General features: G+C 37.2%; 1 protein-coding gene across 13 annotated transcripts in view; it reads right to left on the bottom strand.

Annotated features, from left to right (window-relative positions):
- Positions 1-27,150, bottom strand: part of BICC1 (BicC family RNA binding protein 1) — a 319,216-nt gene that overhangs the window by 28,598 nt on the left and 263,468 nt on the right. For 12 of the 13 annotated variants that reach the window (XM_047425780.1, XM_047425781.1, XM_047425778.1 and 9 more), the window contains 11 exons: positions 17,758-17,837; positions 15,757-15,915; positions 14,415-14,468; positions 13,382-13,576; positions 12,905-13,156; positions 9,223-9,354; positions 6,312-6,498; positions 4,278-4,439; positions 3,586-3,782; positions 2,512-2,644; positions 1,792-1,948 (listed from right to left, as the gene is read on the bottom strand). In XM_047425780.1, the coding sequence (XP_047281736.1) occupies positions 1,792-1,948; positions 2,512-2,644; positions 3,586-3,782; positions 4,278-4,439; positions 6,312-6,498; positions 9,223-9,354; positions 12,905-13,156; positions 13,382-13,576; positions 14,415-14,468; positions 15,757-15,915; positions 17,758-17,837 (1,708 nt within the window). Of the gene's footprint in view, positions 1-1,791; positions 1,949-2,511; positions 2,645-3,585; positions 3,783-4,277; positions 4,440-6,311; positions 6,499-9,222; positions 9,355-12,904; positions 13,157-13,381; positions 13,577-14,414; positions 14,469-15,756; positions 15,916-17,648; positions 17,840-27,150 lie in introns of those variants that run through there. The other variant, XM_011540191.3, reaches the window with a different exon arrangement.

Here is a 27,150-nt window from a genome sequence, read left to right as displayed (position 1 = left end):
ATTGGGCACTCTGACTGTAGGGCTAAAGCTTGAAACTATTTCATGATGCACATTCAAACACAGTATATATAGTATATATGGTATACTGCATATGATATAGGTGGAATAGATGTACAGATGAGATTTCTAATTTTTATACATCAAGGAGATATCAATGATTCATCCATGCAAAGTCCAAACAGAGATCCAGTCAATTTGAAGGGATGTAGATGATCCAATTCGTGTGTATGAAATATGTATATGATGGTAACAAATAAAATGTAGCAGATAAATAAGAAATATTCTTCAAAGTCTGTTGAGGGGGACAGGCAGAGCGTAAAAGTGCTTCTTAGAGCAGCAAATATGTGAATTACAACACATGATATGTACAGAATGCATGCACCACAAGTTCAAATCTAACTGCACCTTAGGCTCAAAATAGGGATTGCAATATCAATCAAGTACTGTTTTGTTTATTCATTCATGATTTTATTTGTTCAACTACTCAGCTGCTGTGCCAAGGGAATTTAGAGGAATTTAGAAAAGTACTTGGGGAATACAAAAAGAGGGACAATGAACTTTGCTTGACAAAAGTTGACAGAGGCTACACAAAGGACATTTGACCTGGGAACTTAAGAGCATCTGCAAGTTGTCTGGTGCCAAAGGTCAGGAGAACAGCAACTCAGAGGGAAGAGCATAAGTAAAGGAAAGGAAGCAGGCAACACAGACCATTGGTGATTTGAAGCCAGAGTGTGACAAGATTAGACCTGTTTTCGAAAGTAAATTGCTGAAGCAAAATAAAGGATAGATCAAGCTAATAAAAGACTGGAGGCAGGGAGACCTTTCTGGAGGCTGCAGCTTAAGCCAAAAGATGATGATAAGAAGGTTCAGGACATACTCAGTGATGACAAGAATACGTATCTATTTTAAATGCTTCAATAGTTTCAAGGAAGTAAAACTGTTTCTCTAGCCTATAATGAGAACATTAATTTTGGGTATTAGCTCCATGTAAAGAAAAACACAGATAAAGGAGAACTGGACAACGGTGGGTAATAATGATTGACCAAAGAGTTTATAAAGGAAAATGGATTTTAATAAGAATGGGAGGAAATAAAACCATGTACGCTAATCTTTGCATAAAGACACTCTAGAAGGGTATACCAGGAACTAATAAGACAGCAGAGGAAATCAGGTGGACGGAATAGGTGGGAACAAAACCTTACATTGTAGAGACTGTCCAAAATACATGGAGGAAAAAAAAAAAGAGTAAGGATGACATACTTTAACTGTGCTATGGTAAGGAAGAGTTATATTTAATATTTAATACAACTTATGTATTTATAACCAAAGTGATTTGGAATAAACAAAGTCATGATAATGTCAAGCATTTATTTAAAAGTTTGCAATTAACTACCTTGGGAAAAAAGAGAGCCACAGTAAGAAAGAAATTCAAAGCCAAATGAAGGAGAATTCACAGTGGGAAAATTTCTAACAGCAAAAATCAGAGAATAAAAATGGCCCTGCTGATTACTGAAGAGCAGAGAGAATGCTACAGTTTCAGAGTAATACAGACGGTTTAGAGGACACAGATATAAATCAATTCATTAAATGGGGAAGGGACTATAGAGAAGACAGAGAAGGGTGAAAATTAACAGATATTATTCCTTAATATTTTTTTTAAAAAAGTTAAAATGAAAACACCCATGGATGAGATCAAACATGACTTGAATCAAAGAGTACTAACTATAGAGTTGAGAACAAATATATATCATTTCAAAATATCAAGGGCTCTTTAAAGATTAAAATACATACTGTAAGTGTGAGTTTTTCGTGCCTTGCAATAGTTCCACTGTCTGCCTTTTGGCACAGGAAACCTTGGAGGGACACATCATCTGTTTCAAGTCACCAGCATTCCCAGAATGGGAAGGACTTCGAGGCATGCCTACTTCAACAAAAGCATCATTACAACCTGCAGAGGAAAAGGAAAAAAAAGTGAAACACCTAAACAACATCACCTTCCAGTTGACAATTATCTGCAATGGAAACAAATCAGAACCCTACTCTATGGAGACATGATTAACCTGACAGAGACCTCTTCCATCTGCAAAGAAACACCTTAACAAGTTCAGGTTGTCACAAAAACTCAATTTGAAGAGAAGACCCGCATATATTTTAAAGATTTGGTGGGGCAGGGGGTGGGTAAAAAGGTTATAAAAAGATACTCTACTTGGGGGAACTATATATATAACATTTAGTAAGTTGATGCTTTTCTGCTGCACAATTACCTTCACTTTAATTCAGGAACTTACAATGTAATGGGGAAATGATTATTTCTGTGGAAAGTGCTTTTCAGTTAATCTTTCACCATGCTCTTTGAAATTTTATTCAGGATGTTGTCTTTCCACATAATTGAGGTAGGATGAATGATAGCTGTTTAGCAAAACCAACTCAAAAATCACTGCATAGACTCTCTACAACCTCCTTTTTCCAAATAACAACCAAAATGAATTTCAGAAGGGTACAGTTCCCGACCTTCAGTGGGGCTTGATTTGGGAGATGTCTGCTCAGACCCACTTGTCTGGATGGACGGATCCCCGTGATTTGCACTCAGCACTTTTTCTCCAAGTGATGAAGTGGATATTGCACCATATTTTATATCTGGAGACTAAAATAATAATAGAAAATAATGTATAAATATGGTCACAATTTTACAGAGAGTCAAATCAAGAACACAATCCCATTTATAACAGCCACGAAAAAGAAAACCACCCTGGAATACTTCTAACTAAGGAGATGAAATATATCTACAAGGAGAACTACAAAACACTGCTGAAAGAAATTGTAGGTGATACAAACAAATGGAAAAACATCCCATTCTCAGGGATCAGGAGAATCAATATCATTAAACTGGCCATACTGCCCAAAGTAATATACAGATTCAATGCTATTCCTATCACACTACAAACATAATTTTTCCCAGAAATAGAAAAAACTATTCTAAAACTCATATGGAACTAAACAAGAGCCCAAATAGCCAAAGCAATCTTAAGCAAAAAGAATAAAGCTAGAGGCATCATACTACCTGACTTCAAACTATACTACGAGGCTACAGAAACCAAACAGCATGGTACTGGCATAAAAAAAAAATAGAAATATAGACCAAGGGAACGGAATAGAGAATCCAGAAATAAAGCTGCACACCTACAACCATCTGATCTTCAATAGAGTCGACAATAACAAGCAATACGGAAAGGAATCCATGTTCAATAACTGGCGCTGGGAAAACTGGCTAGCCATATACAGAAGAATGAAACCAGACCCCTACCTTTCACCATATATAAAAATTAACTCAAGATTGGTTAAATATGCAATTTCCCCATGTAACAAACCTGCATATGTGCCCCCTAAACCTAAAATAAAAGTTGAAAAAAATAAATAAAATTCATTTTAGGTGAAAGTTTAAACATGTTTTAACTTTACCAGGGGTTTATCTCTTACAAACAGCAGAGATCACACACACACATTCTAGCATGTTTTAACTTTACCAGGGGTTTGTCTCTTACAAACAGTACAGATCACACACACATTCTGGCAGAAGGCCATTACCTGTGCATGTCCATTTAAAGCAGCAGAGATTTTTTTGCCTTCGGTCTGCATACTGTTGATATGGACATCAACAGGAGTCAAGCCAGGAGGGGGAGATGGAGCTGTGTGCCCATAGGTGGGCACTCCAGACAACAAAATATTAGTTAATGTGGCTTGGGCAGTAGATGGAATCATAAGGTGTGGTATAGCAGAAAAACCTACAACAACATTTTATGATGACAGATATTAGGAAGAAACTCAGATTCAACTATTATTTTTATTAACAATAAAAATATCATTTTTGTTGCTGCAAGTTCAGAAAAGAATTCAATTTTGACACCTCTGTAAACAGAGGTACTATTTACTATAAAAACACAAAAGAGTGTTAAAATCGGACAATATCATAGAGAATATTTAATCCAACCCTCTCATTGTACAGATGTAAATGACTACCAGCAAGTTACTCCAACTAGAACCTAACTACCAGGTCTGTTTATCACATTTGAAGATGGTATTTCAGTTGTATGAAAAACTCAAACTGCTTTGCTGTTCTTCATTTTAACTAATTTACATATCAGGGAATTTCTGTTTCAATGGAGTATGCTTTGAACCCTAATTTTGCCTTAAGAAAACTGAGCCCTTCGTAAATTTTATTTAAAAAACTGGTAACACCTAAGAATACACAACTTGGAATATACTTAAATGATACTGACCTGTGGCACTTGAAGTATTAGCAAGTGGGGGTGCCCATAATGTGGGGCTGGGTGTACCAGAACTTGGACTTTGCAAAGGACTGACTGAGCTATTAAGAGCATTCAAGAGTGAGTTTGGGGTTGTTGAAGTGTTCAGAGATAAGGTGGTGGGTCCCAAAAGACCTGTAATAAATGAATATATAAAGTCAATTCACATAAATTTAAGATTTTAAAATAGAGATGGCACCAATATTGCCATTGGGAATGCACAATGATATAATCTGATATTTTCTAAATATAAAATATGGATGACAGATTTTCTTTCAAATACTCACATGAGTTTTGCATCATACAGCTCCAACAGAGGAAGCAGCTTATCCACAAAGAGTTGCTATCAGAAAATGGAAGATAGGTGTGCCCAGACCAGGATGGCAGTTAGGGTCATTGAACATCACCAGGTGCTTGCATTCATGTCAGCTACCCAGGATGAACAAAATTCTGCTCAAGTGGAAACTCATTTTTATTCTTCTGCATAACTCATTTGTCATCTGCTTACAAACAAACCCTTTTCAAACTACTCACATGTAGCAGCGACTAGGGAATGCTTTCCTGTGGTAGGATAGATCTATTTGTCCCCGCTGCAGATAGGGTAGGCTACCAGAACAGTTCCTAAATGTATCTCAAAACATATACATGACTTCCCTGGGCTCCATCTCAATGATGAAAATTTCCTCAGAAAAAAATACTGTTTTTTTTTGGTTGTTGTTGTTGTTGTTCTAAGGAGTCAATGCTTGATTTAAATAATGAAATTTTCCTTTGGGCATTTAAAATATGTTCTAGAATGAAATGTGGATTTGTATACAAGTTTCCAGGAATACATATAAAGCATAAAGTATATAACAGGATAGGTATAGCAATGAAAACATTTTAAAAATTCAGTTAGTGAATCTTTGCTCACTTGTTTTCTCTGTAGTGCAGGATGAACTAGGTTCCTGCTAAGTTACCTAATTGGCATTTCCTGACTCACAGTCATTGCTATGTTGTTATGACTCTGTTCAGGTCCCAGTGGAAGGAACAACTTTGGTAGATTAGGGGCCAAGATACAAAAAAAATCTTTCTTTAATGATGTCTAGGCAGGGCTACTTGGAAAATCAATCATATAAGAGCATTAAACTTCTTAAAAGTTAAAAGCAAGAATAGCTATTGGAAAAAAAATTTTAAAGACTGCAAGAATAGCTATTGGAAAAAAAATTTTAAAGACTGCTGAGAGTATTCTTTTTTGTCTCAAATCAACACTGAATGACCCAGGATGATTTTCTAGGAGTACTGATTAAGGAAAATAAATGCAACTGAGAAATGTGCAGGAAAGAAATAAATCTAGCAAAACTGTAATACAGCAATTAACTTCAGCCTATAAAATAGCAATCCATAGATGAGGACATAAATATCACCATGACTATTAAACAGCTCATTCTACTTTCTCGACTGAAGCTCTGAGATGATGACGTTTGTTCATTCTTCTATTTTCTATTCCTCACGTTAGACAGAAATACAGGTCTGGCCTCTGACTAGATTTCCTTTGTATCTAGGCAAGGCAGGCCTAACCACTGGAGATGCGGGTTCTGCTTATTTTCACCCCCCTCCCCACCCCTCATACAGATTTGCAATTACTTTTTAAAAAGCAAACTGGATAATCTTTATCTCTAGGGACTGAAGACAATATTGCAAATGCAGGAGAGAACAAACATAAATTACAGTCAGCATGCTTACTTCAATCTCAATGGCATTCTTAATTTAGAACAAACACAGCCACCGAAAATAAAATAGTCAGACCTTGATTATTTATGCAAACATGGGAAGAATCTGGGTAACAAATCCACAGAGACTAAGAAACCCCAAAATGGATTGATTCAGGTTGTATGGCTTTTCATCTGATCTTAGAGCCCAAAGGAAAAAAAAATAGCCTTTAAATGTAGACCCGAATGGTAGAAAGAAAGGGAACCAGACAAGCATTTCCCCAGTGACTGAGACGCGCTGTAATAATAAATTGTATACCTAGTCCAGTGAGTCCAAGGCCTGCTGAAGCTAAGATATCCAGGCTGGGACATGCCAGGCCGGCAGGGCAGGATGCTGGGGATGGACTGGTTGCTATGGTAACCCCACTGCTTTCAAGTCCGAGGAGACATTTCCTTGCTTCATACATATTTAAGGCATTTCGCTCAACACTTTTCACAATCACAGACTATGAAAACACATAATGGGGGAAAAAAGGTGACATGCAAGTAGTCTACAATGAATGGGGGAGGGGAGGGAGGTGGAAAATGAATACGCTAATAAGAATTCCACTCAGGGGACATATCAATGCTGCTTTTAAATCATCTGCAAATTCTAACCACTTCGTGCTTAAGATTACTCCTTCTGGCAAAACCCTAAATTATTGGTTACCATTTATTGGGCATGTTCTGGGTTCCAGGAGCTGTGATAGTAGCTGCATATATGTTCCTATTCTCAGCAAAACCTTATAGGGTGGGAATCATTACTCATATTCAGTGAAGTTAAGGGACTTAGCCCAGGTCAAGGCACAGCTGTGAAGAGACAGCAAGAGGATGGGAACCTGGGTTCCCTTTTTACAGCCCCTCATCTTTACACTAAAGCTTCCCCCTTGCATCTTGTCATTACATACCAAATCAAACTTGTGACCACATATAAACTGCATCATCATCATCACTTATGTTTGACATTTATGGTTTACTAGTTAGCTAATAGACCTTGAGGTATGACTATCCCTCATTGGTGACATATCTATGGCAAAGCTTATGGTAAAAAAAATTCTAAATAATAAATCATTTTTCTTTCACAATGGACTCATCAAGAAAATTTGAAATGTGAACTCAAAGGGGAAAGCCCTCAATGGACCAAAAAAAAAAAAAATTGTGGCTGAGAAAGCAGTTAAAGCAGTAGTTAGAATGTGGGCCAGCTGGGCATAATTAAATGGCCCTGGGATGCTGCAAGGCTCTGGAGTTCTCATTTACAATCTATTTTTCCCTGACTTCTGCTCATTTCTTACTGAACTCCTGGAATTCTTCTGACTGTCCATCTTAATATGCACAAGCCCTCTAATGTCTCTCCTGTCTTTATCTTTTAGTCCTGGTATCTACAGTGACTCTGGTCAACTCAAATTAGTCACACATGAAGCTTCACGATACATAAAATTAATGTCCTGTTCCCTAACTTTAAACTAATTATATCAAGTTCACTTAGAATCAATGCTATCTTTTCCTTTAAAGTTTTCTTTGGGAGAAGGCAAGATCATTTTTCTTCAGTTGGACAGCGATTACCACATTATTTACATATACCAAATTATATAAAATACATATTATATATACACCATTCTATGCATATAAGATTTATAGTTTCAAAATTTAAAAATGGTGTTATTTTCTTATTTCGGATTTTTGTTAAATAAATAGAACATCTCCCTTGTTTACTTTGTTCCATTTTCCTTTCTATTGCCCCAAAGGCAACTCATCATGATTTTTGTGTGCATCCTTCTAAACAATGCTTTATACTTAAAAATGTACAGACATATATATACACAAAAATGCTGCCATTGACTACATACTACGATGCAATATACTTTTTTTACTCAACACCATTCTCGTGTTGTCTCTTGGTGCAAAGGTGTTTTCAGAGTGTATAATCAGAAGTAGAACTACTGCAGGTAGGGTAATCAATATCTTAGAATAATGCGATGATCAGAAATCGCTCTTCAAAGTGGCTGTGCTAGTTTAAACAACAATACTAATGTAGAAACATTCCTCTTTCCTCATTCTTACTAGCACTTAATAAAAGATTTATTCTGAGCCGGAGACAGTGACTCACACCTGTAATCCCAGCACTTTGGGAGGCTGTGGTGGGTGGATTGCTTGAGCGCAGGAGTTCAAGACCAGCCTGGGCAACATGGCCAAACCCCATTTCTACAAAAAGTACAAAACATTAGCCAGGTGTGGTGGCACATGCCTGTGGTCCCAGCTACTCGGGAGGCTGAGGTGGGAGAACCACCTGAGCTCAGGAAGTCGAGGCTGCAGTAAGCCACGATCACACCACTGTACTCCAGCCTTGGTGATAAAGTGAGACCCTGTCTCAGAAAAAAAAAAAAAACATTTATTCCATTAAATTTTTACTCTACATGTAGTTACTGAAATTTTACAACACTCTGAGGAGAGATTCCAAGAACGCTGAACTTGAGACAGTTCAGTCCTTAAAGTATTTACAAAAAAGCACAGGCACCTCTTCTTTAACTCTCCAGCTTGCGCAGGAGATGGCATATAGTAAGTAGTCTAAACAATTTCTGAATTACACTGGGCATGTACACACACACACACACACACACACACACACACACACACACACACAAAACATGTAAGTAGCCTTATCAACTCTTGGGTAACTTAGAAAAGCTTCAAGTTACCAGATTCTAAATTAAGAACAAATGTTCTTTCCTTCTCATTTAACTATGGAAAAATAATGGTTACTCTAAATGGACTGCAAAAACCAACACATATATAAAGAAAATGATGATCTATAATGAATACTGTTACAAATTTATATTAGATAACTAAATATATAATGACATATATATTATACAAGTTGAGTTTCCCTTATCTGAAATGCCTGGGACCAGAAGTGTTTTAGATTTGGGGTTTTGGGGGATTTGGGAATATCTGCACTGGTTGGGCATCCCTAATATGAAAATCCAAAATCTAAAATGCTCCAATGAGCATTTCCTTTGACTGTCATGTCAGTGCTAAAAAAGATTCAGCTTTTGGAGCATTCCGGATTGGGGATATTCAACCTGTATAGAGTAACAGTTTCATGTATATGCAAATAAATACTTCTATGCAAAATAAAACTATACAGCATATGATATGATACATAATTCTCTGGATTCAGACTCTGAACCAACCTTGCTTGGCTGTTTGGGCTTTGGTTTAATACTGATGAAGACATCAAGCTGTTCCATCAACTGCGCAATGAATTGTGGATCTACTTCAATTTCTTCCTTCATATCAAACATCAACACAAGAGGAAGACAACCCTAGAAAATGTCACAATAGAATGTGTAGGAGGTAAAAATTTAATCATTTAAACACCTGATAATTTAACATGCCTGCAAATAATGCACTATTTTACAGATTTAAAGACTAAACTGAAGTATTAAAGCTGAATTATATAAGTTCACATAGCTTAGAGGACAGGTGTGGCATTAACGTTGAGGGGGAGAAAACCATTTTTGGATGACGAAATTATATGTCTTAAGTTTCTGTTTTTGGCCCCGGACTTTTTTTATCCACTGTGCACCTTGGAAAATTCCTTTATTCTCTAACTTCAGTTTTGTTAAGTTATGCTAGAAACTAGATTCTCGACTATATCAAGGGTACTAATCTTTGCCTTTGCTCAATGACTTCCAGTGGCAGCTTTTGATTGTATTTTGAATGAAAACTAAACATGATCGAGCATTTAAAGAGTTCCACATTTTAGCCCAGACTTGCTTGTTCAACCACAGATTTATATCTGTATGTCTTCCCCTTCCTCCAGGTTAGGCCAGCCTCCCAACGATCCTTTAAGAGGATCTTGTACTTTGGTATCTTAACTCAGGGGTCCCCAACCTTTCTGGTACCACAGACCAGTTTCACAGAAGACAATTTTTTCATGGACCAGGGGAGGGGGAGGGAAGGGGGATGGTTTCAGATGATTCAAGCACATTACATTTATTCGGCACTTTATTACTATTATTATCACATTGTAATATATAATTAAATAATTATACAACTCACCATAATGTAAAATCAGTGGGAGCCCTGAGCTTGTTTTCCTGCAACTAGACGGTCCCATCTGGAGGTGATGGGAGACAGTGACAGATCATCAGGCATTAGATTCTCCTAAGGAGCATGCAACCTAAATCTCTTGCATGCACGGTTCACAATAGGGTTCATGCCCCTATGAGAATCTTATGCCACTGCTAATCTCACAGGAGGTGGAGCTCAGGCGGTCATGTGAGTGATGGGAAGCCTCTGTTAATACAGATGAAGCTTCCCTTGCTTTCCTCCTGCTGTGTGGCCTAGTTCCTAACAGACCACTGACCAGTATTGGTCCGGTCCTTGTCCCGGGGATTGAGGACCCCTGCCTTAACTCATCAAAAGCTTCTTCACCAATATAAATCCTACTTAACCTAATGCAGTTTAAACCTTTCCTCCTTCCTGGAGTAAATTGTTACTACTGTCCCTTCTTTTAACTACCTCATTTTTTAGATTTTTTTTTTTTCTCTAATGCTCTACTCACAGCCTCTGATCTACTGAGTCTAGGAACAATGTAATATACTTTCTCTGATGCACAGAATTTCCAGTGTTAGCCCACTGGGTGCTGGAATTTGTAAATGGATATCAGGAGAGGTTACCATTAAGCACACTAGGATTAAAATGAATTACTAAGCCGGGAACCATGGCTCATGCCTGTAATCCCAGCACTTTGGGAGGCTTAGGTGGGTGGATCACTTGAGGCCAAGAGTGCAAGATCAGCCTGGCCAACATAGTGAAACCCCATCTCTACTAAAACTAAAAAAATTAGCCAGGCATGGTGGCATATGACTGTAATCTCAGCTACTCGGGAGGCTGAGGCATGAGAATCACTTCAACCCAGGAGGCAGAGATTGCAGTGAGCTGAGAACACACTACTACACTCCAGCCTGAGCAACAGAGTAAGACCTCACCTAAACTAAAAAAAGAAAAAGAAATAAAATACTATGCTCCATTTCTCCTGTGGAAGAAATTGATTTTTTTTTTTAAACGGAGTCTTGCTCTGTCACCCAGGCTGGAGTGCAGTGGCGCGATCTCGGCTCACCGCAACCTCCACCTCCGCGGTTTGAGCAATTCTCCTGTCTCAGCCTCTTGAGTAGCTGGGATTACAGACCTTCACCACTATGCCCGGCTAACTTTTCTGTGTATTTTTAGTAGAGATGGGGTTTCACCATATTGGCCAGGCTGGTCTTGAACTCCTGACCTTGTGATACGCCTGCCTCGGCCTCCCAAAGTGTTGGGATTACAGGTGTAAGCCACCGCGCCCAGCCAGGAAGTGATTTTTATAAGAATAGTGCTATACAAAATGGTGATGGTATTTAAAATACGGGTTAAAGCCTTTTAATTTCTCCTTCAGTTATTTCAATGTTGTGCAATAATATGAGTCATTATTTTTGGCAGGTATGGTCAAAGTATAAATGTGCATTAATAACTGTAGAGAATATTTGAAAAATTTCACTAAACTAAAAAATAACATCTAAAGAACTTGTAAAGCAGAAAAAAAATGAAGATTACAACAATTCTTGGATATAAATATAAATCTGACTTGTAGTACAGTATATTAAAAATAACCTGATAAAATAAGCTCGGCTAAAAAAAATCATGACAAATTTCTTAAAATCGTGGATTACAATCTTACTGATTCCAACAAGTTCTTGTCTGTCAGAGGAATGGAATCAACAATAAAAACTTAGATTTTCTGAAAGTTTCTCAAAAATAAACTCTGCAAGTTAATAATAGTAAATGTCACACCTGAGGCTTACTGATTCAAATGCCACTAAAGGTCAAGCACTGAATGAGAGAATACAATGGTGTTTTTAATACAAATATTTGTAAGCCCAGCATCATGTCCATCCATTTTGTTACTACATTATCAACCCATACACTGGGATAGTTTATTTCATTCCATTTCATTTATTTCATTTTTGAAATGCAGTGCAGTGGTGCCATCTGGGCTTACTGCAACCTCTGCTTTCTGGGTTCAAGCAATTCTCCTCCCTCAGCCTCCTGAGTAACTGGGATTACAGGCACCTGCCACCGCATTGGCTAATTTTTATATTTTTAGTAGAAATGGGGTTTCACTATGTTGGCCAGGCTGGTCTTGATTTTGACCTCAAGTGATCTGCCCACCTTGGCCTCCCAAAGTGCTGGGATTACAGGCATGAGGTACCGCACCTGGCCGAGGGGTTTTAAACAAATATGGGAAGGATAGAAATATTGCAATTATAAATTAGAAGTAGTAAAGTAGTATTGAATTATAATATATAACTTTGCTTTTCTTCCTTCAATAAGTGACGCTCGAATTTGTGACTTAAATAGTATTTTTTAATTGGATCAAAGATTTATGAAATGTACAAATGTTTTGGGCTGACAAAATTTGTCTTTGATGGTGAAATTTAAATAGTATTTTTACTTTTCTGTTTAAACAGAGGACTTTTTTTTTTTTTGCCAAATACAAACTGCACACTAATATTACAGGTCAGATGAAAACAGTCACCTTCCATCCTTGCCACAAAATGCAGTCAATTATTTCACTATAATTCTCTTCTGTGTTTAGTCTAAGTTAAAAAGAAAACACTGAAATAAAATTACATATGCAATGAAATTAAACCTGTTGAGGCACTATGAACCTTATTACTCTTCCAGTTTATTTCCTTTTAGCAAGAAACTTCCTTATTTGACGAGGCTTCCGAAGTGCTTTCCTAAATATCACATTAGTACAGTGGATGGAAAAACATGCACTGAATCCAAAGAGGTTTAAAAAAATTGTAACACTTATTTCAGTAACCTTACCATGAGATATTGCCTTGCAAGACAGACAGACTCAATGGTGCCCTGGAGGTAGACGGTAGATTTCTTTTGTGGATTACTGGGATCAGGAAAGTGGATCTGAGCACCTGTTCTCTGCATGATATGTTTGATGTTGCTCCCATTTCGACCCATCATAAAGAGATGATGTTGAGCTGCAATATCTAGTTGTGTGCTCACAGGAATAGCTGATGCTAAGCTCCCAGCAAGATGTTCTAACAGCATGGCAGTTCCTTCCTAAGAGAAAAGGGTGGGAAAGAAATAATCCTATACATTAACTGTTCATATACGGGGAAAGATTCTATTGCATTTCTAACAGCTATGGAAAAATACAGCATATTCTGCAAACCAAAATGTAGAACGAAGGAAAATTCTGGAAATCAAATTAGTCTAATATTCTTTAAAAATGAAACTCATGTAACTTGTACATATAGGATGTGCAGAATTATCTGAATAATTTACCTTCACAGCACTAGTGTTATTCTGAGACCCTCGTACTATGACAGTAGCACCATACATTCGGGAACGCTGTTTAAATGATACTGAAATATTGTACGTTTGTGATATATGCTGAATAGAGGGGGAATTAGGATCAGGAACCGGTTGAAGAATTCCAGCAATTGGTAGCTCAAACATCAGCACCAAAGGAAGCAGCTCCTAAAATGAAATGATGAGAATCCAAAGCAGAGAGTTAAAGCATTAGACATTCAGACATGTGTATCATTCATTGGTTCTTTTCTGAAGATAGATTTTAAAGCATAAACTGCCCTTATAGATATTAAGTTTAGCTACATTATATAAAGTTTTTTTTTTTCCTTTCTGTTTTTTGAGTCAGAGTCTTGCTCCGTCACCCAGGCTGGCATGCAGTGGTATCATCCCAGCTCACTACAGCCTCCACCTCCTGGGCTCAAGGATCCTCTCACCTTGGCTTCCTGAATTAGTGGCACTACAGGCATGTGCCACCATACCTGGCTAATTTTTAAAAATGTTTTGTAGAGACAGACAGGGTCTTGCTATGTTGTCCAGGCTGGTCACGAACTCCAGGCCTCAAGTGATCCTCCTGCCTTGGCCTCCCAAAGTGCTGGGATTACAGGTGTGAGCCACCACAACTGGCCTACAAGTGTTTTTAAATGATGGGAGCCTTTTGTGAAACCTGAGAGTTTCTAACTCACATTGCCTGTGGCATTTTTCCTTAGGCCTCTTTATGATCATTGAATAAAAACTAGAAAAACTGAGTCAGATAAAATCCAGAACATCTCTGAGAAACATTTTCAGTGAAAAAATTTTATAAATAACATAGAAACTCACTTTTTGAACATATACAATAAATATTTAGATAATGAATGCTAAGATAGACACTAAAATAACTTTTGCCACTATTTCCTACTGATTGAACATGATTCGGTTATAAAATGATAAATTATTATATTTTTAGTGCCTTATAATGCAAATGTTGCTGACATCAATTTACAATGTTAAAGTAATAAATAGTTACCCGAATTCTAACTCGGGCAGATTCTACTCCTGCTGGTTGTCCCGCTATAGATACCTATAAGAGGAGGAAAATACAAAGTTAGATTTATTTTAATCAAACTCACATCTCTTTTCCAGTTCATCTATATGCTTGCTACTAAAAGTGTCATCCAGGGACAAATACAGAGGTATTATCCAGAAGCTTGTTAAAAATAAAGGATCTCAGGCCCCCATCCAGACCTGCTTAATCAGAATTTGCATTTTAACGAGATCCTCAGGTAATTTGTGTCAACTGATCTGTTTCACCCACTGGACTTACTGAAAGCCCCACAGCCCCCAGGAGATCATCCTGCCCTCTTTATAATTACTCTTGTTCACTGCATTTTCTCCGTTTTGTTTAAGCTCTTTGCATACCAGATACTTATCAATATTCAATGACAGAGCTACACTAGGTTCTGAAAATAGTGAACATTTTCCATACCAGATGGTACACAATCATTGCTCCAACATCTACCTCGAGCTTACTTCTGAAATCTCCTGGGCATTCCCATGACCCACTGACTCAAGGTGTTAGTCTTGGCATTGTGGTGGGGGGTACAGGGGCTCCAGGACACTGTTCTTAGGGCCAATGGTCATGCCGTACCAGTTTTTAAATATTCTGAATATTGTCTTTGCTTTTTACTATAGCTTTCTGTCTAGTCCCTTATGTGCACATCCCACTGTCACCATTAGTCCCTGTAGAGAAAAGACTATTCATCTTTGTGGCTGACAGTTTCTAGTATTGTAACTAGTTTAGAAGAGAGAATACTTCCAAATATCACAAATAATACTATCTGTTCTTCAAGTACTGAAACCGCTTGCATGAGGACAGGTGAGTTCCATTTGCTGCCAAACAGAAGAACAAGCACAAATGTGTATAAACTAGAGAGAGACATAATTAAGGCAATGTAAGAAGTCAGGCACTAATGCACTGCTCCTCAGAAGGTGATCTGGTGTGCCACAAAGGTATTTACTTCCAGGTCTCTACCAGGCAATGGATAGGTTCCTGGACTAGGCAAGCTTCCAGGTCCTAAACGATATGCTCTCTCAGCCTTTCTTTAAGGTTTTGTTTTGTGGCCATTACATCTTCCGCTATTTTTTATCAATGATTTCAAGATCAAGAGTTTAGGGCCCATCTACAACTCATCTCCTCAAAAAAGCAAAGCACCTTCAATTTCCTTGCAGAAAGTTGTACAATCTACACTGTATGTCATCTATGTGATTTTTTTTTTGTCTCACCTCTCAGAAAAAAAAGATAGGCAAACTGAAAATTAAATTAAGGCTGTAATTCATCCCATAAAAGTTCATGTGAAAAGACAAACCACCTGGTTGCTTTTTTCTGCTTGGTTATTCCTGTTGGAATCTGGAAAGTGGATATGGCATCCGGTTTCTTCCATCACTTTTTTAATATTGTTGCCACCTTTGCCGATTACATGTGAATGTTCTGTATGTGAAACATCCATCTTCAGTGTGACTCGATTGCTCTATGTGAAAATAATGTATTATTACTTGATGTATGCAAAAGGAAAGAATGACCTCCTAAATGTCTTTCCCTCAAGGGAATGGTATTAACAAAAAGCAAGTCAGTGGGAAATCTTATTTCTTAATAAGATCATCTTAATCTATAAGTGTTCTCCTGCTATTAATTTCTCTGATTATAAAAAAAGAAATTCTCATTTTAAGAAAGATTTGTCAGAAGAAATAGAAAAATTTATTCTTTACCAAGATAATTTTTTTGGAAAGAAGTCTTTAAACAAAGTCAGCTACAGTTAAATAAATTACTCAATTTGTCTTTAAAGACATTATTCACGAAACATTTAATTCAAATAACTAAAAACAGATGAAAACACAATTACAAGATTGAAGATATGCATGCTAGTGGGACTGCATAACTAAGATGATACAAAATTAGAAATAATAAAGCTCAAAACTGTGAATAAGAAAGTTTTTAGAATCACTGCTTTCCCAACTCCTGTATTACTATATATTGAACTTTACAAAGTAGATCTATTACTCTTGCTGGTAGAAAGAAGGGAGAAAGAGATCATAAAGTGCAGATAACTGGTCACAAAATGGCTTAAATAAAGAAATTCAAAGTACATTAGTTATATTAAAGCAAAATGTAAAATTCTAAGACATAATAAATAAAAATGCTGTGGTCATATTGGACTATATTTGAGGAATTTAGTGCTGTACAATCATAAAGACTGGCATAAAATCCCTTCTCATTTAGAAGACTGTTACTGAAATTATTCAGTCTTTAAAAAGTAAAATCGAAATATCAAAATATGTCAAAAATATTTTTATACCTTGTGAATTCTTAAGTTTTAAATTTATGCCCATTAAATATATTTTGATTTTTAAGTTTAGTTCTTTCAGTTTAACCTTTAAAACACAAAAAAATCCCCCTTTCCTGAAGAAAATTCTAAACTATTTAATAATTATCAGGGGAGTAATTTTTTTAAAAACGAAGAAAACCAACAAAGAACAGAAAGGAAGAATGAAAACAAGAAAGCGATCAGAGGGAGATCATTCTAATGAAATGCCAGGTGGCAAGACAAAGTGGTTAAGAATGAGACAGCCTGGATTTGAATCCCACCTCTCCACTTAACCGGCTCTAGGGTCCTGAACAAATTACTTAATACCTTTGTGCTGAGTCAGTTACGAGGATCAAACAAATTAATAAGTGTAAAATGTAGAGTACTTAGCGAAGTGCCTGGTATACAATAAGTGATTTAGATGTGTTTGTTAAAGAAAATAAATTCTCACAAATGAGTATAAATTTTTACATATTGAAATTTCCCTGTTCTCTCTCTATACATATACTTACAGAGAGAGAGAGAGAGAGACATCACGTGATCACACAAAAGCAAGCAACAAATTTCATGCCATTACACACACCCAACACAGAGCTATATAGAAGATCATTCTGGTATTCTACTGACATCATAAAAGCAAATAATCTAATTCCTACAATCCTTATTACTTACCCTATATTAATCAGGGCCAATTTCTATTTCTGAAGATGGTATATATGTACATGTATACATATATACACATACATACACGATACATATATATGTATGTAGATGTAGGTACATATAGGTGTGTGTGTGTGTATGTATAGTTCAATTACTCAGCATGAAAGAACCTATTCAAATATTAAACAGAACTTTACATCCACTGTAGAATCACATGTGCTTATTTTAAAACCCACCATTACTTTCTCCTGGTTTTTCTTCTCCAAATGGTTCTTTCATAACGGCATGAAGTAGCCCTTGTAGAGACAAGGTTCTGACATCTGAGTGTCCTTAACATTCACTTACTTTTGTGTCTAAGACAGACATGATCATTTCCTTGGCTTCTTTAACATCTTCTTTCTTTCCAGAAACCTTAATATGGGGATCTATAAGAAAGAAATAAAAGGCTTGTGTGAAACTCCCAAACTCTGTTTAAAATTGTTTTAAAAACTCTGTTTTAAAATTGACTCTAGAACATAAGAGGTTCCATAATAAACTCAACATTTGGAGATTATTATTATAATAAAATTCTAGGTGTGTTATTGTAACAACAACAGGAATATGGAAAATGCCCACGTTTTCATTTATCTGTGACTTTCTTCCTTAAAATTGGCTAAACCATTTAAATTTACATTTCTTTTTACAAAATAAGTATATCACGTAATTGCAAAATAAAAATATCATATAATTTTTTTTTATAAATTGGATTTATTAATTGAGCTTCTGCTACAAGTCTCCGCCCTGTTCTAAGGGTTGAAGTGCATCAATTCACTTAATCCACAGCACAGATTCATGACGTTGTTTACAGAGGAAACTAAAGCACAGAGTGGTTTCGTAACTTCTCCCAGAAAACCACTCAGAAGCTTGGACATTATAATCCAATGTCTTCCAACTCTGGATCCACACTTTATGCAATAACTTCATTTAAAAGACATCACCACAGTGAAGGCTAATAGAAAAAAAACCTTAACTTTCATTCAGGAATATTTAATTCAATATTTATCCAGAATTAGTATTGAGTGACTAATATTGTTTATTACTGCCATTAAACTTTCTACAGGAAAGCATTCATTCATTCACCAAATCTTTTCTGTACTTCTACTATGTACCAGGCACTGTTCCAGGGACTAGAGAGAAGAGATAAGTGAAGAAGCAAGAGTCCTGTCCACAAAGAACTTGGCTCTTCTGCAGAGACAAAATATAATTTAATCAAATAAATTATCTAATTAATAATTAATCAGAACATACATGTTATGAAAAAAGAAAAAGAAGAGTAACACAAAAAGATGAGGAAGTACCAGCTATGAGAGAGTCTTGAGGAGTATCAGACTTCATAGAGAAAAGGAGATATGAGTAAAGGCTTAAAGGAGGTAAGACACTGGAACCTTCCAGGTAGAGGGAGATATCAGAGCCAAAGCCTCAGGGTGGGGACTAGCCTCCTTAATTCTCTCTTCAATCAGGTTTTCAAGTTGCCCAGCAATCCAGGTATTCTCTTATTTTACAGGTCAGCCTTTGACACAGATCAAGATCATTCTAGGATAAGTCAAAAGTTCTATACCCATCAGCTTTATGATAAAACTGAATAACATAGAGATAATTCATTATGATTATCACAACCATTGATCATGTCTCAACCTTACTGAGTGTCTACAATGTACTGACTTCTAAGAAAGTCAGTTAGTACTGGCTAAGTCTTTTATATCCTGTACTTTGCATCCAGGCAGTAAAGAGTCAGTAAATGTTTACTGAGCACCTTTCACACCTTTCACACCTTTCACAATTTACCACCAGTTCCGCCTGAATCCTTTAACTCCTAAAGCATCTATTCTCTAGGATAAGGCATGAGAATCACTGGGTGGGGATTTTATCTAAACCACACATACTCCCCTGACACTGTGATCTCCCACCCCCATCCCACAGCCTAGGTGAAAACGCCACAGAGAGCATATCATATTCTTATGTTGCAATTGGGCAATTGCCACTCCCCTCACCAAAAAAGAGGGAGGAAGGAAAGAAGGGAGGAAACGATTTTTCTTAAAGCTACCCACTGCTAGGACCAGGATGGTGAAATCACAGTTAATAACAGTGCACCAAGCTTCAGAGTTCAGGAATGCCTCTGGCCTCCTGGGGAGATGTCCAGCAGCTGTGCCTAATTTGAGTCTCTGTCACCACCTCCAGCCCCCACCCTCTCCTGGTGGCTGCTCTTGGTCTCAAGCACCCTTCCTTATCCTATTTTGTAATCCCTCCCCTGACACTTAACCTGTCACAGGGACACTGTGAAGGTCAAAGGTCTTAAGAGTGGTTAAAACTTGCCAAAATGTTAAGCATCAGTTATTATGAAATGAGGGGCCTAACAGCAAGGCACAAGGGGCGTCTGACCAACCCAAGTTGGGAGAGAGCCCAACAGCATCTCATTCCCATTGCTTGCTCTCTAATGCATCCTAACAAGAACCAGGACTGCCCTTTCTCTGTTATACTCTAGCCAACTTTTACCACACTTATGTAAACAGACAGATCATTTTATTCAATAATTCTTATTTCATCCATAATAGCTCGGCTAGGCAATAGGCTTAAAGGAGGTAGGATACTTGGCTGAGCTGGAACCTTCCAGGTAGAGGGAGATACCAAGCCAAAGCCTCAGGGTGGGGACTAGCCTCCTTAATTCCCTCTTCAATCAGGTTTTCCAGTTGCTGTCTACCTTCAATCAGGTTTTAAAGAGCTGTCTACCTTCAAAATTTCACTCTCAACTATCCTTAACTTTGGTTTTAGTTACTGCTGGTTGACAATGAAGTTAACCTCTACTGAAAATGTTCACTACTACTGTGGGTGATTAGAAGCCAATGTGTCTCAAAACATGCCTGTTAAAATACAGGTTTCTGGGCCTTCAGGACTCAGTAACTGGCATTTCACTGGCTTTCCAAGTGATGGTTAACTCAAGTACAGAAACAGCAGATTGAACCACATAGATATTTCAATTGTAGTCATTTATGTATTGGTCCTATATATATTATACAAAATGCTTCTATAGGATAAATTTGTATTTTTCCCACAAAACAAATTAACAGTAAGTTTTGAGTGGTATGATAATCTACAAATGTGTGACTTTACAGGTTGGATAATCGCATTAAAATTCCTATGCATACATAGAGGGACAGGGAGCCTCGTATCCGATTTAAGAGAGAATGTGATTTTCTTAAATCAAGAAATAAGATGATTTTCCACCATCTTTGCATCAACAGAACAACAAGCAAAATAAAAAGCAAACGCCTCAACAGAAAATACACTTTCATTCAAAGTGAAAGGGCACCATCTAGTGACCAAAAATATAAATTATCAGTGGGCACAAAGACACATGAGCATGCATGCAGAGACAGTCACCAACATGTAACACGTTTACCTCCAGGGTCTGAATCAGTGCTTTTTTGGAAAGTGGTTCTTCAAATAGTCAAGCTTAATAAGGACAGAGAAAAACAAACATGACAAAATTCTGGTTTAGATTGCTAAAGTGGCTAGCAGCATTGTGTTTTTCATTCCCTTTTTGGCTCTTGCTTAAAAGATGCATACAAGATGTGTCCTTTTTTCCAGGTTGATCTTAATTTATTCATTTCAATTCCTGAAATACAGGTCTCTGTTTTTCAATGACTGTTAACAGTTTACAATTCAAACATGTCTGTGTAATACCAAAAGGGATTAAGATTTCCTTTAGACCCACTCTGCAAATACTTGACAGAGAAAAGTCAAAGTATTAACCACATTAATAAACATAAATTGAGGAAAAAGTCAGCTATAAAGAGGGTTAGAAGATGGCATAACAGAAAAATAGGAAATAAGCGTAGAGCTTCTCCCTCCCAAAATTAATTGCTTTGAAGAACTCAATTTAGGCATAAAGGTTTTGAGACATTTACTCTTAAAAAAAAATTTACTACTTTAAAACCAATCCTCAAGTTCCCTGAACACAGGGGTCATGTTTAATTTGGTTTTGTAACTACCACAGTGCCAAACAAGTGGTAGATACTCAATAAGCTGTTGCTGAATGAACGGATGGCACCTATAATTTAGGAAATGGCTAAATACAGAGAGAGGAGATGGAAGTCTATAGAAAGAGTCTAAAGCTCATATCCTAGGTGACTGTGTGTGTGGTACTTTCCAAAAAAGTTCTGAGTTCAAATATTCTGATCTTAGCACCTCTTTAAAAATACAAAAAAACTGTCAGATATTCATCTCAATTTTTGGTTTTTAGATTCCTGTCCTACCCGTCTGCTCACATCCCTCTGGTGTCATCCTAATGAAGAGAAAGTGACCAGATGGTAATCCAACCTTCTCTAAGTAATAGGAAGCTGTAATGGAAATGCATATGAAATGGGTATTTTATATGTGAATAATGCCAAAGAGAAAAAAATGCCCCTTTTTAAAAATGTTAAACCTTTGAACATAAAGGTTCTTGTGACTTTCATATGGATATCTGTAAGGACTTAACAAGGCAACAATTGTCGTAAGGACACCCGCTAAAAACCATATTTTCAATAAAAATAAAGTATTTCAATATTTAAAATTAAAATTTTATTTTCTCTACCTTACTCTATTGTAAGAATACTGAATGTTTTTATGACTTAATGTGAAGTTTAGTTATGCTTTTAAAAGATTATCTCTTGGTACTCTGGTTTCTACTCTGTGGTTTTCCATCCTTGGAAACATTCCCACCCCTGGAAACATTAGTGAATATTTTACTGCCTCTTCCTTCTTCCTTCAGGCCCCTAAACCTCCTTCCCACTTCATTCCTATTCCACAGCAAAATCTGCAGAAAATACTCATGTCAGCCATTTGCATTTATTATGCTACAGAGAGTAATGTGCTATAGACACATGATGAATTTAGGCCAATCTTTCATCAAAAATCTGTAGCCACTTTCCTGTCTCCATGATTAAGTGCTGCTGAGAACAGGATTCAACCCCCTAAATTCACAGTATGTCTTCCACCCTCGGCATGTACATTTAGAGACAGAAAACAACAGAAAAATCCCTTGTTTGACTACCTCCCCGCCTCCCACTCACAATAAAAACAAAACAAAAGTTATCGTATCAGAGTTGTACTTCTGTTTACAGGGAAAATTTCCATATATTATAAATGGCTTCAAATCTGGATGGCTGTGGTACATTTTATGTACATAAACAAAACTGTCAAACAGATGAGTGGACAGAATTTACTTTCCCCTGGCGTGGAGCTCTTTCACGTTTGTTTCAAGTTAATTTCTTCCAAAAGCGCTTTACTTCTGAAACAATATAATCAAGACGGGCATTACCTGGGGCCTGGATCTGTCAAGAGTGGCCAGTGTTGACAAACACTGAGGCGCAGCTCCAACTTCTTCTGAGATTCTTTGCAACCATTGGGAATATGTCAACAGTCGGCAAGTAGTTCCAAAGTAATAATAGCCAAAATTTTTATGTAAGAAAGAATGTAGCCCTAGGCTTACAATTTTGTGAAAAAAATCTCAGAAAGAAAAAAAAGTGTCAGAAAAAGCCCCAGGCTTCTCAAGGGCGTTAGTTCACTTGGAATCATATAGGGAAAAGCTAGGAAAAGCCAGAATGTATCACACAGAATTTATTACTTTTTAATGCCTTTAACGTGGCAATCGACTACAGATTTCCTTTATGATGTGGTAAAAATATGTGGTGTCTACAGTTAATCGCAATTTAGCCATAAACAAACTCTGTCACCTTGGAAAAGTCACTGAATCACTCAAGTATAGTTTCCTCAAAAAATAAATGAGGAAATTCAGTTAGATCACTGCTGTATTTCTGTATAAATGCAAATTTCTTTGGTATAAAATAGTACTATAAGGTTCTTAAACTAATAAGCAACTTTATTTTACAATTTTTGATAACTCATGGTAGGTAGCTCACTTAAAATCTAAAATGTTTCCAAGAAGCTTAAACTAGCCTAAATCTGGTGACATATCTACAACTGGCTTTCCTCTTATTTTGCACATTTTAAGAATCTGTGATTTTTGTATCAAAGTGGATGAAAGGCAGTGTTCACCCCAGTGGCATTTCCTGAATAATGTGCTTTTAGGCACAAAACAAATGCATTGACAACCCCATACAAAGACGAGAGTCTACTTCAAACCCTATCTGAGCCATCTAATATGGCTTCTATTTTGATGACTATTAGGTTGGCAAGTCACTTTAGTAATCAGCAAAAGTGAATTCTACTCATAGTCAACTGGCCACTGCCCATATTTTATGGTGAAACATGTTTCCCCCTGGCTTCTTAAGAAATTGACTTTCTTTTTTAAACAAAAACTGTACATGGGCCAAATAACATACCAACATCACATTTTTTTTACGGTGAAAATACATACTTTACCAAGAGATGGAGAACACCTGAACTGACTTATTAAGCCTGACTAGAAATGATTTTGAAAGAGCAAACAGGACGACTAGAAGCCTGTGCACTTTACATTTATTTTGTGGCCAGTGAGATGGATTCCAGATTATTTCAAGGAATGTTCTTTGACAGTAAGAATTCTAATAAAAGAGCAAAGTATATTTCAAGAGGGGAGTAAAAGAGCCCAAGCCACACATAGTTAAAGCAAAACGTTAGTGGGCAGCCATAACATGTCAGGTGATATAACCAGAATAAAGAACAAACCCATCTGCTCTAGGCCTTCCCTATACTAAATACAGTTGACCCTTGAACAACATGGATTTGAACTGTGTAGGTCCACTTAGTCAGAATTTATCTGCTGCCCCTAAGGCAGCAAGATGAACTCCCCCTCATTCTTCTTCCTCAGGCTACTCAATGTGAAGACGATGTGGATGAAGACTTTTGATGACCCACTTCCACTTAACAGTAAATCTATTTTCTCCCCCTTATAATTTTCTTAATAAAATTTCTTTTCTCTAGCTTACTTTATTGTTAAGACTACTGTATATAATACATATAACACACAAAATATATGCTAATCAACCTTTTATGTTACTGGTAGGCATCTGGTCAATAGCAGGCTATTAATAAAGTTTTTGGGGAGTCAAAAATTATGCGTGTATTTTTGTGTGGTGGGTCAACATCCCTGACCCCACTTGTTCAAGGCTTACCTGAACATTGCTTTAGGATAAAGCATAAAATCATCTTTATGTATCTTATTAAATTAAATTAATTAATTAATTACTTTTTTGAGACAGAGGCTTGTTCTGTCACCCAGGCTGGTGTGCAGTGGTGTGATCTCGGCTCACTGCAACTGCCGCCTCCCAGACTCAAGCGATCCTCCCACCTCAGCCTCCTGAGTAGCTGGGACTACAGGCACGGGCCACCATGCCTGGCTAATTTTTTGTAGAGATGGGGTGCCTCACCACATTGTCCAGGCTGGTTTCAAACTCCTGGACTCAAGAAACCCATTGACTCGGCCTCCCAAAGTGCTAAGATTACAGGCATGAGCTACCACACCCAGCCAATATCTTATTTTAAAACTGAAAAAATAATCTCCTTACTAGTCAACTAAAAGAGAAGAGGAACAGACAGCAAGCAGTGCAAAAACAAATGTATTTTAAATTCAAAAACCTAATTTTCATGAGATTAATGTTACCATTAGTATCCATATCAACCTATACACAGTGAGGTCCCATGGCAACTTCATATCAAGATTCTTTTTTTTTCCAAATGAAACTTAATATTTAACAGAGAAAGAGTATTTTTGACATGATAATGGCAGGAGTGACGTGAGCGAATTGTAAGAAACCAAGTATGGCAAATTCCTTAGGCATTTTCAGCTCTCTTTGGCAATGATTGGGGAGCAGGTGCCCTCATCGCTACAGTAATGAATACTTCAGGCAGGTTCTTGCTGAATGCAAGGAAAGGGTGGGAGGTCCATTCACATACCAAGGTGGAGCCTGTGAATGGTTTACCAATTGGATAAAAAAGAGCTACCAACTTGAGAAAATTCAAAACTAGCTGGAAGATAAGTAAGAGCTTTTGGTGATGGAATACCAGTATTTCCAATATAATCAGCGATGGAAGAGTTTAAAATACAAGGATGCTGGGCTATTAGAACTATTCTCCACTGACTTTTCAACTTCAGGAGGAAATGCAGCTTAATGGAGAGAAGAGGTAAATTGTGCATATGCCAGTTTGTGTTAAGATTCCACTGTGACTTATCAAAGCTGTTTACTTAATCAGAAACAGAGTTATGGGGGCTCAGCAAAAAAGTCTAGAAATAATCTCAGAGAAGAACAATGAAATGCAAACAAAGTAGAAAGCAAAAATCAAGGCATACCAGATGAAATAATCAACAACAGATGTATTTAAGGAGTGTGAGAATTGGAAAAGGATAAACTACCTTATCTTATAAACCACTTTCTCTTATATAGTGTAAACTACACCCCAGACATAATCTGAAAGCTGCTGTTCAGATAGGAGGAGGGCAGGGAAAAATCCAAAGCATAAGAGAAATCCAGCTTTGGAACACGGAGGGTGGAAAAAGAAAGAAACAAAAAGCCTAACTCAATTAGTTTCCCGCAGCCTCTTGGCATCTGAGCTCTATATTCCAGAGATAAGGAAGAGGATTCTGGGAAGGGGAGGAAAGAAAATGAAGTGCCAGGAGGAAATCTGGAATCATTAGAATGGTTTGTATATAACAGTTCTACAGAAAGCATGGGTAGTGCTAGATTACTGCAAGGGAGGTCGTTGACATAAGTATGAGAGGGAGATGGGCAACTCTTGTGATGGTGGAGACGAAGCCAAGACACCCCACATGGCAAAAACAATAATGCGAGGATCCAGGATGAAGAGGAGGAAACAACACCAGCCCTCTGCAATGGCAATGGCATCCCAGTCCAATACTCAATGGTCCTTTTGATAAAGGAGGGGGCACATGCCAGGATAAAGCATCCCCAGGAAATTGTACTGAGATAACAGCAAGTTATGCAAGAACTTCTAAGAGCCAGAAGTGACTAATTTGCCTTCTCTCTCCCAGGAATACTGATGTTCACAGTGTGCATGACAGGTCCCAGAGGTATTGCCTGCAGTCTAAACCCAAAGCACTGTAATCTGTAGCCAGGGCAGATTGTTCCTTTTTACAACAGCTGGGACTCTTCGTGAAAAATCTTAACACACAACTGCTGGTTGCTGTTACAGAGTAAGACACTATGCATTTAAGAGTTCACACACATTAGACTAAGAAAGTCCCGTAAATAAAAAGGTGACCACATCATACCATATACATGATCTCTTTATGTCTGAGCTACTCAGATAAGAATTTAGAAACCGGAAAACCTGTCTCTTGAAGAGATTCAAGGAACAATTACAGGTACATGCAGGAAACAGCAAAACTTTTAGGAATTCGATTCTAAAAATAACTTAGCAACTTGAGACTGGCATTAAAATTCTTTACATTTCTCATCTTTGTTTTGTATGTTACACTTGTTACATATAACTTTTATATGTTACACTAAAGAGCAGCTAATTATAGGTTCAATTGACTCTGTGTGCTAAAGACTGTGTTTCAAGCTTGTTCGTGATCTCAAAGTTGGTAATATTCACAAAAATTAAAAAGGCCTAATATTAGGTAAGTGGTCCTTAAAGAAAATTATCACTTGCAAAATGCCTATCTGCCTTCTTCTCACTCTACTTTCTACAGACTAGCTTAACAACAGCTGTTAATAGTTTTTTCATGAAGCCACATATACTGGCACAATATGCCTATTC

Source organism: Homo sapiens, chromosome 10 (assembly GCF_000001405.40).
Source record: "Homo sapiens chromosome 10, GRCh38.p14 Primary Assembly".
NCBI classification, from domain to species: Eukaryota; Metazoa; Chordata; class Mammalia; order Primates; family Hominidae; genus Homo; species Homo sapiens.
Note: the sequence above shows the minus strand (reverse complement) of the source record. Positions and strands in the feature narration are given on the sequence as shown.